The following is a 15,714-nucleotide window of genomic DNA, read 5'->3' on the forward strand; positions in this document are numbered from 1 at the left end:
ATTTTTTCATGGTCATTAGTTCTAGCTATCTCCAGACTTGATGCTAGACTATACATTTTTTCTCATGTATGACATTCCTCAAGAAGTGGTTCGACTCATATGTCTTTCTTTACCTACCACCTAGATAAGCCCCAAATTCACACTGTTACTCCTTTATTTCTCCACAGAAAAATAACTTTCATTACATGTACAAATGACAATTAAGCCAATTAGAGTAAACAACTTTTGGTCAATTCAGCTCTCACTTTGCCAGGAACCAATGGCCATCCTCAGTTTTTTTTAAGTATGGAGGTTTGGAAGTCAAATTTGACGCCTTTCTTCCTTTCCTGTCCCCACCCCTGCCCACAGTCACTTCCACAATCTCTTGCTTTTTCTTTGGACCTATTTCCAGGGTCACACGCAGTCAGGTCCTAATTATTTTGTTCCAGGTATGCTGTTTCCTAGCATCTCTCCTGCCAATCACTTTGATCGAGATAGTACTCTCCTCTTTTCAGAAACCTACAATGACTACCCATTGCTTCTTGTATCACAAGCTGAATCTCTCTAATGAGCTTTGAGGGGCTTCCACACTCCCCTGGGTCCTCCTCCCTGAGCTGTGTCTTCCTCAGGTTGCACTTTTTGTTCCTTATTAACCCTTCGCAACCCAGTTTCCCTACTCCCCTTTCTGATCAACAGTCCATTAAAAATAAGGTAAAACAATGCACAGTGCTGACGTCTTTTTAAAAAGAAGAAAACCCTAGGACACTAATACAATTATCCTTTTGCTTATGCTTCAGTTATCGGTTGTAACTACTTGTTACATTAATTGGGTGTATCTTTGTTACAGAGGATTAATAAATGTTTTATTTATTTATTTTAGTTTCAAAAACATGCCTTGAAATTTCACCAGATTGGGTGAAACGTGTTTACAATACTAGGAAGTGAACAGCAGGCACTAATTTTTTGTAGCAGTATTTCTCATCAAGGCACATGCATTTACCTAATCCAAAAGATGGCTAGCTTTCTCAGTTAAAAGGTATACAGAGAAATAACCCTTGCATTTGATCATTGTAACTTGGACAACATTTCACTCTATTGAATATAAACGGGAATCTGTATGCTGTTATTATTTTAAAAAAAATTTTTTAATCCAGCTTTTAGTAGAGGATAAACTTCTTAATGGCAAGGACCATGGCTTTTACTTCCTTTGTGAGGCTCACAATAATGGGAACACAGCTTCATGTGCAATTGGTCTTCAATAAATGTTGCTAGGTGATTCATATTTGAATGGGAAATGGAAAGAAAAGCCTGACGGACTTAAAGGATTTGTGTGCATGCATCTTGCTGTGAATAATACAAATGTGGAGAGAGATGACTAAGTGGACAGCATAGGGCATAGAGAGCTTTGGCCCCTGAAATACTCAGTAACAGGAAGTTACAGTGTGACTAACTGTAACCAGGTTGTGAAATGGAAAGCAGAGGAACTGGAGGATGTACTGGAAGAACTCAGGGGTGCACACAGAAGTGAACTGCAGCATCAAAGATGTAATGCCTTTCCGGGTGAGAACTTCAGAAGGAAGGACAGCACAGGGGACAAAGGAAGGGATAGAAATGATAAGTGTCTTAAAATGAAAAGGTGATGGAAAGAATTCTTAAGGCAGAAATAAAAATCCTATCAATAACAAGGTTGGGTTTAGAGTTAAAAAAATAATCACACGGCCGGGCACAGTGGTTCATGCCTGTAATCCCAGCACTTTGGGAGGCTGAGGTGGGTAGATCACCTAAGGTCAGGAGTTTGAGACCAGTCTGGCCAACATGGCAACACCCCGTCTATACTAAAAATATTAAAAAAATTAGCCGGGCATGGTGGTGGGCGCCTGTAATCCCAGCTACTCAGGAGACTGAGGCAGGAAGAATTGCTTGAACCCAGAAGGTAGACGTTGCAGTGAGCTGAGATTGTGCCACTGCACTCCAGCCTGGGAGACAGAGTGAGACTCCATCTCAAAAAATAAATAAATAAATAAATAAATAAATAATCACGCAGATATTTTGTTTCCTACTTTAAATAAAAGCAAGGCTTCACATTTGACCACAGAATGTTGTATTGCTTCTCTGCTATGTGGCACAGCTTTGATATCAGGTCCAGGACTGCTAAGTGAAAGAAAAGAAATTTCTGGTATGTTTGGAGCCTATGATTTCATCCCTCCTCTCACTCCAGCACATCTGATCTATGTATCCTCAAAAATGGAGCTGCTCACCTTTGCCAGCTCAGTTCTTCCCATCCTAAGCTTTCCTGAGCCAGTACCACTTAAGCATGTTATAAAATGCCAAAGCCATTCATGGTCATTATGGTGTCCACAAATATGTTCACAAATTCTTGACACTCCCTTCAGAAGGGAGAACCTAATCCCTCTCTCCTGGAGTGTGGCTGGACTTAAATTATTTTGCTTCTAATGAATGAAACAATGAAGAAACGAAGGTGTGTGATTTCGATAGTATGTCATGAAATGAACTGTGGCTTCCTCCTTGGTCTCTCTTGAAGCTGACTCAGGGGAAGCCAGCTGCCATGTCATGAGAAAACTTAAGCAGCCCTGTGGGGAGGTCCATGTGGTGAGGAACTGAGGCCTCCAGTCAGCAGCCATGGGAGGGAGCCACATATGAAGTAGAGTCTCCAGCCCCAGTCAAGCCTTCAGATGACTGCAGCCCACTTGACAGCTTCACGGTAGCCTTATGGAAGAGCCTGAGCCATAACCACCCAGCTAAGCTGCTCCTGCATTCCCTTGAAAACCATGTAAGATAATAAATGTTTGTTGTTTGAAGTGGCTATGTTTTGAGCATAAGTTGTTACACAGCAATAGATAACTAATATGGTAATCTTTCCAATAGAGCTCTTCTTTACTTTGGAGTTAAGTTTTTAAGTTTTATTAAAAGGTCTTTTCATTATTTTGGAATATGTGTTTACCTGCATTTAATATGTAAATGGATCAGATGTTATAAAATGTTCAGGTAAATTAAATCCCACCTTCTTTTTTAGCTTCTGATTTTAACAAAGAGAAATGATTTTTCTCATCTACTGAGGTACCAGAAACAATGAGGGTACTGTAAGGCCTCAAAGAGTCTAACAGACCTCTAGAGTTAGGAGTGGGGAGTGGCTAGATTATGTCTTGAGATGTTTTCCTCATTTAAAATCATTTAACATAAACAAAAAAGATGGCATTTTAATATTGTACTTTAAAATATGAAAAATAAATAGTTTTTATTTTAAATAGAGGTAAATTATGCAGGAGGAACAATCTTGTCAGAGCCAAGATTGATTTTTTTTAAAAAAATCACCAGTGAAACTTGCTAACAGTTGGCTTTTAAAAGAGAACAGTAATACACTTTTACCATTTTGTTTACAGTCCCTGTCTATAAAATTTTCACATATATATGATAATATATTTCTTCCAGAATCTTTCTATCTTTGTATGCACAATGCCTAGACACCACAGGCACATAAAATATGTTGAATGAATGAATGAATGAATGAAACTGGCTTAAAGGAAAACTGAAGAAACTTACACTCTCCTAGAGGATTAAAAAAGTACAAATCACACGATATGATTAATGTTTTTAATTTTAAAAACACAGTACATCCTATGGGTCTGATACTATTTTAAATGCTTAACGTAAACTAATACACAGAGTCATCCTAATATCTCTATTGATTATCATCCCCTATCTTTCCTTTTTTTTTTTTTTTTGAGATGGAGTCTTGCCCTGTCGCCCAGGCTGGAGTGCAGTGGCGCGATCTCAGCTCACTGCAAGCTCCTCCTCCTGGGTTCACGCCATTCTCCTGCCACAGCCTCCCGAGTAGCTGGAATTACAGGCGTCTGCCACCACGCCCGGCTAATTTTTTGTATTTTTAGTAAAGATGGGGTTTCACCATGTTAGCCAGGATGGTCTCAATCTCCTGACCTCGTGATCTGCCCACCTCGGCCTCCCAAAGTGCTGGGATTACAGGCGTGAGCCATCATGCCCAGCTGATCATCCCCATCTTCTAGATGAAAACCTAAAGTACAAACAGGTTATATAACCCGCCCAAGGTCCTGCAAGTTCTGAAGTGGTAAAGTCAGGATTTGAAGATCTGTTGTGGCTTCAGAGCTGACTCCCGACCTCTACACTCTGCCACCCTCCCTACGAAGGCAGCTCCTTATATGATCCTACCTGATGTCATACCTAGGCAGTTCTCAAGTCAGGAGAAGGTGGAAGTGGTGGGAGCGCTGCAAAAACGGAGAGAACTGTGACTGCTTTGCAGTGTTTTGGGGAATTGTGTTTATTCACCAGTTTCTCTCACTAGACCGCCAATTTAACACTCTGCCAACTGTCCAATTATTCATGTTCACGTGGAGCTAAGTGGGTTCTTCTCCAGCTGCACACCTTTCTTTCTCAACATAATTAATGAGGCTCATCAAAACCCTAGAAAACAAGCCCAGCGCACCAGCCACTCTCATTGACATGTTAATAGGGGGTCAGGTGCTCCTGACCTCACAGCAGGATGTTTATATGGCCCCAGGGCTGCTCACAAATGTTATATGTTGACTACAGGGTGTCATGAATAAGGGCGTTCCTTTCCCAGTAAGCAGCTGCACTACACACAAATGGCCATGGAAATCTCTGAAGGCAGTGAGCCACACAGATCAGGTGAATTCTAACAGCATGGGCACAAAGCCGGCTGGGTTGGCTTATCCAGAGCCTGGCCAGGCGGAGGGCACTGGAAAGCACTAATTCATTCCATCCAGTGTAGGATTACATAGTTTTTAAAAGGCAATGTAAAGAGTAAGAGACTCACAAACAGCAAAAAAAAAAAAAAAAAAAAAAAAAAAATCACCTCTGGTCTTGCCTATTACTTTTCTGATCACAGAACTGATTTTTGGTGTTTTTCTAACTCGCGCTGTTCAACACAGTAGCCACTAGCCACATGTGGCTGTTGAACACTTGAAATGTGGCTGGTCCGAATTGGGCTGTGCTATAAGCATAACAGGCACATCAGATTTCAAACACTTGGTATGAAAAAAAAAGTATGTAAAATATGCCATTAGTAATCTTTATATTGATTACATGTTAACATAATCATATTTTAAATATACTGGGTTAAATAAAAATATATTAAGATGAATGTCACCAGCTGCTTTTTACCTTTTGCAACATGGCCAATAGAAATTTAAAAATCACATAGTTTGCACTGGTGGCTTGCATTCTATTTTGATTGGACAGTGCTGCTCTAGAGTTTGGAAACTCTAAACCTGTCACTGCTTTGAGAGGGATGCAAGGGGCAAGTGTGTTTCCAAGTCTTGTCTCTGGACTTTTTCTGCCACACTAATGAAACTCTTACCAATGGGTGATATTGAAACTAACACTATCTACCAGGAAGGCTGCAATACACTCAGATGTGAATCGCCTCCTGTTCCAGGGCCTTCAATCACCCTTCTATTCGCAGGCTTTGAAGTACAGGCTCTGACTGGCCCCAGCAAGAGCACACTTTGGCACTCTGTGGCACATGTAACTCATTCTTATTGCACTGATCTAAAACCTAGCTCTCACTCACAGTGGCTTTTAGGGAATGATCATGTGGACCCAGGCTGCCACCGATGGCTGTGCAGTTTGTGCCTGGCACAACAGTGTCCAGCAGAGGGTACACAAGGGGTTGCCATCACACCTGGGGTGCCTGCAGGCTGGGGCTGCAGTTTATCGGCTCAGAGGCGTTGCCTGAAGTGGACTGCACTCTACACCCAAGGCAATCTTTTTTCTTGCACCCCTGACTAACTTCCACATGGCACTGAAAGTACTCCTGGCCTAGCAAGCCCATTAAAACATCCTTTGTATGAATTGGCCAGAGCCCAGTGCAGAAAAGCAGGCCATATAAATTCCCAAACATCTCAGATCTAAGAAGAGCATTTAGAGAATGCAGATATGTTTATAAAACCTCCTGTAGGAAATCATGATATTAATAAATGGGAGTTATTAGTTTGGATATAATTTGGGGTCACTATTTACTGCTGACTAAATAAAACATATAGGTAAATTGCATAATCTCATGTGTCATATTAACTAATCATGACAATGTATTGGAAATCTAACTAACATGAAAGATATTTTGATTCTCTATGTACTAGATCCGCTGCAAACCATTTGTTGTCATAAAGAGGATGAATTCTAGAGAATCTTGCCCAGGAACCAAAATATAATAGAGTATCTTTGTATAGGAAAGCAGCATTTCCCCCCACCCCCCGAAGAGTATTATAACCTCTAGAAGAGCCCAGAGTTGTATGAATAGTTAATGAACGATGACATAATATACTTTAAAGCTTGGAACTGTTTAAAGTGTGCTCCAAAAGACTATCTTTAGAAAGGACTCTCTTCAAATAATTGCTAAGATATGATGAAGTAAATCTTTATAATAAAAATATTAAGCAAAAGGAACATATGATAGTCTGTTATTACTCTAAGAAAAACAACCACTTTCATAGTGATATGAATTTACTAAAAAATAAACACCTAAAAACAAAAAGCCCAACCATAAAGCACAGAGTAGCTATTTGTGGCTCAATGCTGCGAAAACTTTTTAAAAAATAGCCATGAGCTTGCTTCACACCTTTTGCAGAGTGTGGGACAAGTAGTACCTCAGAAAACTGGAAATATAAAACAGAAGAATAAGATAAATAATAGCAAAGTAAATTACGTGTTTAAATTGCTTTTAAATATACTGTAAATAAGATTTGATTATTTACATGTATACATGTGATCATCTTTCAGAAACTATTATACCATCCCAATATTTAATCTTATGATCATAAATATTTGATTCATTTCCTTTTATCTTGTCATTTATTCAAGCACCAAGTTCTGTTACTTCTTCCCTCTAAATGCCACTATGGCCATTGTTCTCTTAAATTTTAACTGCTGTGTCCAGATAGACATTCTTACTGTCTCACACTCAAAATAGTAGAAAGTCCTCTAAATGTTCTCCCATTCAAATTTTGCCTCGCTATTCCGCACCGGAACCCTTCCCTCCAGCCTGGCTATAATCTAAGTTGGCCACGGAAGGAATAATGCTTTGCCGCCAGCAGGATGCCTTTCTACCCACCCTCTATCCCGCCAACTCCTACTCATTCTTGGTCTATCTCGAAGCTCAGTTGCCCTCTGGAGGCTGCTCTTGTCTTCTCCAGGCTGCACTGACCCTTGCTGTTCTCCCTGCCCTGAATCCTGAATGTAAAATTTAGTAAGGTAGCACTGACTACTCGCTCCCTTGTATCGCCCTTATCTCCCTGACCAGACTGCACATTGCTGGACACTCTAGGTTACACTGTTTTGGTATCTTGCTTTGGTCCATAATATCATGACTTTGAGGAGTGAATATACACAGGGAGGATATGATTGGCCATTTTACAATTTTCTACACCTGTGTCGAACCCTTAGGCTAGTAGGCTCCTCTTGGGAAAAAATAAAGCTGGGCCTACTCTCTTACCTGTGAGTGCACTGGGTAGGGGCCTAGGGTGTAGCAGAATGCACCTTGAAAGGAAGGGAATCTAAGAGTCTGGAAATGGAATGAAGTTGGGCATCCGGCTGAGGCAACATCTCCCTGAAGCTCAGGAGCACCTGGGAAAGTTGCTTGTCTGCCATCCTTGATGTGATTGAGCATCAGAACACGGAACACAGGGTTGTGGCTGACCTCTGTGCCTGAGAGCAGTCTTGCTCTGAGGAGAACAGCCCGAAAGAGGCCCTACATAAGCCTTGTGTCGCCTTTAATGTGTGTAGTATCCATTCCTTTGCGGTCTGTCTTTCTATAGATCTTAAGGAAAGCAGCCTGGCACTATAAGACTGTGCCCTTAAATCCTGAGACAGAAAAATGAATAACAAACCCTCTCTTGGAGGAAAAATCCCACTCTTCACCACATTGGGACTGGGGAGAAGGGACCACTGGAGGATAGACTACTTTGTCCTATTCAGAGAATCAACAGGACAATAACTGCCATATTTAAACATATACAAATATTTAGCAATGAAATAAACACAGGCTGCTTGAACTGCAGTCTCAGTGTTATGTTGCTTTTTGTTTGTTTGTTTTGCGCCCAGCCCGCAGTGTTATCTTATGTACTATTTCTCCATTTGAAAATGGTAGTGGTGGCCGGGTGCAGTGGCTCACGCTTGTAATTCCAGCAATCTGGGAAGCTGAGGCAGATGAGTCACTTGAGGTCAGGAGTTCGAGACCAGCCTGGCCAACATGGTGAAACCCCATGTCTACTAAAAATACAAAAATTAGTGGGGCATCATGGTGTATGCCTTTAATCTCAGCTACTCAGGAGGATGAGGCTCAAGAATCGCTTGAGCCCAGGAGGCAGAGGTTGCAGTGAGCCAAGATTGTGCCACTGCACTCCAGCCTGGGTGACAAAGTGAGGCTCTGACTGAAAAAAAAAAAAAAAGAAAAGAAAAGAAAAGAAAAAAGAGAAAGAAAATGGTGGTGGTGGTAGTGGTTGGGAGAAAATGGTCGTGGTGGTGATAGTGGTTGGGAGATGTGGGCGGGGGGGTGGGGATGTTCATTAAAATGCACATTCCCAGGCCTCATCCCAGATCTACAGATTCTGGGCCTTTGGCAGTGGAATCTGATTGATTACCTGCATCTTGAATGCTTTCCCCAGGTGATTCTTAGGCCCATAAATGTTTCAGAACCACTGTTCGATGGGTTATCAGCTCTCTCAGCAAACAAGAATATTCTCATCCCCTAAAACCTTTAAGGAGTATTTTCATAGGAGTGCAATTAAAACCTCTTTCGGGCTGGGTGTGGTGGCTCACGCCTGTAATCCCAGCACTTTGGGAGGCTGAGGTGGGTGGATTGCCTGAGCTTAGGAGTTTGTGACCAGCCTGGGCAACACAGTGAAACCCCATCTCTACTAAAATACAAAAAATTGGCTGGGCGTGGCGGCCTGTGCCTGTAGTCCCAGCTACTCAAGAGGCTGAGGCAGGAGAATTGCTTGAACCCAGAAGACAGAGGTTGCAGTGAGCCCAGATCGTGCCACTGCACTCCAGCCTGGGTGACAGAGTGAGACTCCATCTCAAAATTGAAAAAAAAAAAACAAACAAAAAACCTCTTTCTTCTAGAAAGCTCATTCCTTTCCTAAAATGTTTCCTTTTCTGCTGCTTTCTCTTAGCCTCATATTTCTAAAACTCTGACAGAATATCAGTTTCCAAAATATGCCAGGATGTACACGGAAATGAGGTATTTTACCCATCAGCAGGGGCACTGCACTTAAGATCTGGATTTTGGGGCCCTTCTGCTTGCTGGTTTCCCCTCAGCAGGGAAGGCCTGGATTCAGTCAGTGAGGAGTGTTCTGTCCATATTCCACCTTGCCCCTGAGTGGCCAGGTACTACTGGCTTAGTCAGAGTCATGAACCTAAACTGTTTTCATAGTCCTTGAAGTAAGTCAGTATTTCAAGATTCTGAAAACTACTCAATAGTTATAATCACAAAATCTTCTTCCAAAATAGCATGATGATCATGTTGACACTGTTGTCTTTTTCAATACATGTATTTGACATGTGTAAATTTTGTGTTAAGAGAGCACTTTTGGTTTTGTGAAACCCACTCTATTGGAGCCAAAAGTGTTAGAAACAATAATGTGAATTCTGCTGTAAAATTATAAATTTCAATTTGGACAATATTCGATATTCAACAGAAAAGTGTTGAAAATCACTGAAGGAGCCTCTGGTAGAATGAACACCCACATTAATCTTGGCTTCCTCCGATGCTCCAGTACAATCACAATACAGGAATAAAAATGACATAAATATTTAAGAACAAAGAAGATGGGAGATGGCAATAGGAATTGAGGGGTGTCAACAAAATTTTGGGAGATGAAAATCAGCTGGCTGAGTGGTAAACGACTTAGCAGCTTAGAGAAAGCTGAATCTAATCCTGCAGTAGAAGAAGCCAAAAATCAAGCAAGATGATTCAAGCTAAACAACGCTGTGAAGACTTAGGAACCAGAGGCACCTCTGAATGCCAGGGTAGATGGGAGTGCAAAAAGGAAAACTGGCTGCAATCCTGTATAATTAAGAATCGGACCAGATACCCTCCCTCAGACAAGAAGAAGGCGGGTGGATTACTCTGCAGAGATGAAACCACAGGACTCTGGAATCCTGGATCCCAGGCCTAGCCAGAGTGGGTTGAGGAGCCATATGAAAACAGGGAGATTAAGTGAAAGTCTACATAGAACTTAGTAAGACACGCCCCTCAGCATCACCACCATTTCTTACCTCCCTACCCTTATTCAGCTCCAGAAAGCCAGCATCCAAGTTTACAACCCTCAGCCATGAGATGGAAGTCTTTCCTGTCTAGCTTAAGGGAAAACAATCTACAAACATTGACCCAGTGAAATGGGCAGGTTCTAGGCGAATCACCCTATAACAAAGCACCACACTTTACAAGCCCCATCTAAGCACACAGAGCAACTAATTAGCTTTATTTTGCCTCTCTCTTAAACAGATATTTGAGAAAAGCTTCTTTTATGAAAGAAAGAAAAACAAGCATATGAAAAAATATGCTTAGGAGAAACAGACAAAGCAGGAAGCACAGGAAAGCTTAATTGTATTTATTTATTTATTGAAACGGAGTCTCACTCTGTTGCCCAGACTGCAGTGCAGTGGTGCGATCTCCGCTCACTGCAACCTCTGCCTCCTGGGTTCAAGTGATTCTCCTGCCTCAGCCTCTGAGTAGCTGGGACAACAGGCATGCATCACCACGCTCGGCTAAGTTTTGCATTTTTAGTAGAGACGGGGTTTCACCATATTGGCCAGGATGGTCTCAACTCAAGTGATCCGCCCGCCTCAGCCTCCCAAAGTGCTGGGATTACAGGTGTGAGAGCCACTGCTCCAGGCCTGGAAAGCTTCATTTTAAAATGATAATTAATAGCCTTGGATTGAAAAGGATAAATTAGAGTATAGAAAGAGCCTATGGAAATTAAAAATGTGATAAAATGAAATATTTAATAATTGGGTTGGAAGATGAAGGAAATCTCAGAGCATAGAGCAAAAGGACAAAGACATGAAAAATAGAAAAGATATGAAAATCAGAGTACAATCCAGAAGGTTTAATACATAATAAACAGAAGTTTCAGAAAGTTAAAAAAGGAGAAAAAAGAAGAGAGAAATTACCAAAGAAATAATCTAAGAACATATCCAAGATCTTAAGGACACACAATTCCAGATTTTTTTTTTAAAAAGTGCATAGTACTAGATACAGTGAATGAAAAAGAGCTGCAATAAGGTGTATCATCATGAAATTTCAGGGTAAAGAATATTAGAAAAGTTATCAGAGTGAAAAAAAAACAGGTTACACACATAGGGTGGGGAATCCAAATGGCCCTGGACTTAATAGTAGGGAAGTCAGAGGACCATGAAGAAATGCCTTTAAAATTCTAATTAAATGTGTTTTCTAAACTGTAACTCTATAGGCTGGGCACAGTGGCTCACGTCTGTAATCCCAGCACTTTGGGAGGCCGAGGCAGGTGGATCATCTGAGGTCAGGAGTTTGAGACCATCCTGGCCAATATGGTGAAATTCTATCTCTACTAAAAATACAAAAATTAGCTGGGTGTGGTGGCACGCACCTGTAATCCCAGCTACTCAGGAGCCTGAGGCAGGAGAATCACTTGAATCTGGGAGGCAGAGGTGGCAGTGAGCCAAGATCGAGCCACTGCACTCCAGCCTGGGCGATGGAGCGAGACTCTGTCTTAAAAACACAAACAAATAAACAAACAACAACAACAACAACAAAACCTATAATTCTACATCAGGTAAACTATTAATCAAATGTAAGGATAAAGACAGTCTCAAAAATTGGTTCCATAGGAACAATCTCCCATTTACCCTTTTGTAAGAAACTATGAGGACTTCCACCAATTTGAGGGAATAATTCAAGAAAGAGGTGGGATCGAGAAAACAGACGACGCAACACAGAACGGTGGTGAAACGTTCCAAGAATGATGGTGAAGGGTGATTGCAAGACTTCCGTTAAGCAGCAGACCAAGAAAACTGCAGGACAGAAGTGGACAGAACCAACAGGGCAGAGAACTTCAGGAGAGAAGGAAAGACGGAGGGAGGGAGAGAGGGAAAAGAAAAGGAAACATGAGAAAAACTATATTATCTGATGTGCTTGATCATATTGAATGTTTTACATGGTCAGAAAAGTTTAAGGATGGATCAAAAGTAGGTACAGAGACAATACATGCCCCTCACCCTGCCCAAAAGGGCAATCATAAATTCCAAGGAAAACAAAAAGCTATACAAGTAAGGAAACAAAATCATAGTATACTACATGGCTAAACTGTGAGGCACTATGCAAAAATTAGTCTTTTAAACATGGGCTACTTTTTAAAATCATGATTTGTAATATAGCTAGTTACACTGAGAGGATGGGGAAGAGAAAGAGAGAGACTGTGTGTGGGGGGGTTGTGTATGTTTGTCAGGAGGTAGTATAAGTAGCTGCACCCCCCATCTTCTGTAGAATTGAGTAACTGAAAACTTGAGAAATGCAATTTATGGAGATAAATGAGAAGACAACATGGAAGTGGCTGCCTTTGGCAAGCAGAAATTAAGAGTGGCGTGGGTGAGGCAGGAGACTACTGTTTCTCATCAAAATCCCCCTAGCAGTATTTGACTTTCTGAGCTGTGCATGTGTATTACTTGGATAAGGTAAATAATATATACATCAAGGAAACTGAAAAAAGGGGTTCCAGGTTCTTAAAGTTTTTTTTTTTTTAAATAATTGCTTGTCTTTTTTTTTTTTTTTTTTTTTGAGAGTTTTGCTCTTGTTGCCCAGGCTGGAGTGCAATGGGCAGTCACTGAAACCCCTGCCTCCCAGGTTCAAGTGATTCTCCTGCCTCAGACTCCCAATTAGCTGGGATTACAGGCACCTGCCACCACTCCCATATAATTTTTTTGTATTTTTAGTAGAGATGGGGTTTCACCATGTTGGTCAGGCTGCTCTCGAACTCCTGACCTCAGGTGATCCACCCGACTCGGCCTCCTAAAGTGCTGGGATTACAGGCGTGAGCCACGGCGCCTGGCTGCTTAAAGTTAAGGAAAATGTATCTTCCAAGAGATTTCCATGATGGCTATGAATTTTGCAGCTCTGTTCTTTCTCTGGAGATTTTATGACTAAAAAGCTTATAATAATATACCACACAGGGCATTCCACAAATTCTGGTAAAATAAAATTGAAAGTGAAAAACATTCTGTAAAATATGAGCACATATACTCATTATGATGCACACAGCCACATGTAGAAAACATACGTGTAAAGAATAAAGTAGCAGAGTCACCTATGATGTATCTAGTCCTAAGACTGCAAGTATGAAAAATTAACACCACATTTTGGAAATGATTCCCTTTCTGCTCTTCCCCACAGGAGTTATTCTTGGGCTCTGGGCTGGCCTGTGACCGTCCTTGACCAGCAAGTGGTCTCTGCTTTTGGTTTACTTCTTTCATAGTTGCTCCATTGTTTTTTGTTTGTCAGACACAGGGATTGTGGTTGCCTTCCCAGCAATCTCACTGTTGTTCCGCTGGTTCAAGATAATCACCTCCTATCAAAGGATTCATTCTAGACTTGCCTTTTCAGCTTTTCTATTTGATCTCAAAAGCGGCTCTGTGTTATTTGTGCTAATGCTTTCTCCATTGGAGCTGATAATCAACTGTAATCATATTTTTGACCCAAACTTTGATGATCACCATCAAATGATTTATTGAATATCCTTATGTTTAAGACACAGTGCTAGGCACTATGCAAAAATCAGCTAAAGTGTGTGTGTAAGAGAGAAGAGAGAGAGATCCTGCCCTTGAGAAACAACAGGATTAGGACGGAAAAAAACCAGATGTGACCATAGTAAGTTCTATTTCATAACAAAAACACATATTTTAAAAATTGGAGAACATGTAGTGTATATTTCAAATAGTTACAAGTGAGGACTTGAAACGTTCCCATCACATAGAAATAATAAATACTCAGGCCGGGTGCGGTGGCTCACGCCTGTAATCCCAGCACTATGGGAAGCCAAGGCAGGAAGATCGCTTCAGTTCAGTGGTTGGACACTAGACTGGGCAACATAGTGAGACCTTGTCTCTACTGAAAATTAAAAAAAAAAAATTAGCCAGGTATGGTGGCACATGCCTGTAGTCCCAGCTGCTTGGGGTATGAGGTGGGAAGATGGCTTGAGTCCAGGAATTCAAAGCTGCAGTGAGCTATGATAGTGCCACTACACTCCAGTCTGGGCAACAAAGTGAGACTCTTTCTCAAAAAAAGAAAGAAAGAAAGAATAAATACAGTGATGGATGCCCTAAATACCCTGACTTGATCATTACATATTCTATGCCTGTAACAAAATATCACATGTACCCCATAAATATGTGTAAATATTATGTATTAATGTTTAAAAAGTGAAGCTGGTAAGAAGAAAATTAGAGACAATCTGGGAGGTTTAGTCCATGATGAATAGAAGTTCCAGAAGGTTTTAAAACAAAAAAAAAAGTAGGCCGGGCGCCGTGGCTCACACCTGTAATCCCAGTAATTTGGGAGGCTGAGGCGGGCGGATCACGAGGTCAGGAGATCGAGACCATCCTGGCTAACACGGTGAAACCCTGTCTCTACTAAACATACAAAAAAAAAAAAAAAATTAGCCAGGCGTGCCGGCAGGCGCCTGTAGTCCCAGCTACTCGGGAGGCTGAGGCAGGAGAATGGCGTGAACCCGGGAGGTGGAGTTTGCAGTGAGCAGAGATCGCGCCACTGCACTCCAGCCTGGGCGACAGGGCAAGACTCCGTCTCAAAAAAAAAAAAAAAAAAAAAAAAAGAAAGAGAAAAAAAGTAAAGGGAATAAAGAAATAATATAAGAACAAAGAAATAATATAAGAACATATCTCAGAGAAGATTCAAAAACTTTTAATGGTAAAAAATGTTATTGCTACTTTCACTGTCACTAATTTAGCTAAAATTTTCTAGGAATGAGAACATGGTAAAGGGATTAGGAGACAGAATGGAAAAGAAACTGAGTGTGGGAGGCAGGTTTTAGGACTACTCACTAAAGCAGGGATTCACAACTAATATATGTCAATGAATAGCAAATAATGATATTGTCTCAATCCAACTGGCAAATCAATTCAACTAAGAATTTTTTTAAAAAAAGAATTAACGAAGGGTAAACTTTTTTAAGTAGGGAGTTTCCCTTCCTTAAAAAAGTATTTTCCCAGAGGGTAGAATTAATACACATGTATGATAGAAAGTTTAGAAAATTCAGTTAAATATAAAGAGGAAAACAATAATCACTCATAATTTTTCCAGCCAGAAATAAATATCATTCCTAACATTTTAGGAATTCAGTATTTAGAATTCCTAAAATAACATTTTAGTTATTCAGTATTTTTCTACACATATTAAAAGTCACAATTTGGATTGTAACATATAATTGTTTTATGATCTATTTTATTCATATTATGAGCATTTCCATATGATTAGTCATTCATTTATATCATGAATGTCATGTACGTATTTATTTTTCCAAAATACTTATTTTTGGATCAAAGTTTTCACTATCATAAGTAACACCATGAGCATAATCTTTGTTCAACCATCTGATCAAAAAGAATAATATGTAAATTCTGAGAAATGCAATTACTAGATAAAACACATTCAAAATTTTGAAATATCTT

The 15,714-nt window shown here is 40.5% G+C and overlaps 1 protein-coding gene across 2 annotated transcripts in view, besides 1 other annotated feature; it reads right to left on the bottom strand.

Annotated features, from left to right (window-relative positions):
• MAML3 (mastermind like transcriptional coactivator 3) overlaps window positions 1-15,714 on the bottom strand; it is a 437,432-nt gene that overhangs the window by 154,347 nt on the left and 267,371 nt on the right. The window lies entirely within an intron of this gene.
• Window positions 4,083-4,806: an enhancer, noted in NCBI's record as "OCT4-NANOG-H3K27ac-H3K4me1 hESC enhancer chr4:140796336-140797059 (GRCh37/hg19 assembly coordinates)". NCBI's record gives its function as "activates a minimal SCP1, AML or CMV promoter by ChIP-STARR-seq in primed H9 embryonic stem cells {active_cell/tissue: H9 hESC(primed)}" and the evidence as "EXISTENCE:reporter gene assay evidence [ECO:0000049][PMID:30033119]".

The sequence above is a fragment of the Homo sapiens genome, chromosome 4 (assembly GCF_000001405.40).
Source record: "Homo sapiens chromosome 4, GRCh38.p14 Primary Assembly".
NCBI classification, from domain to species: Eukaryota; Metazoa; Chordata; class Mammalia; order Primates; family Hominidae; genus Homo; species Homo sapiens.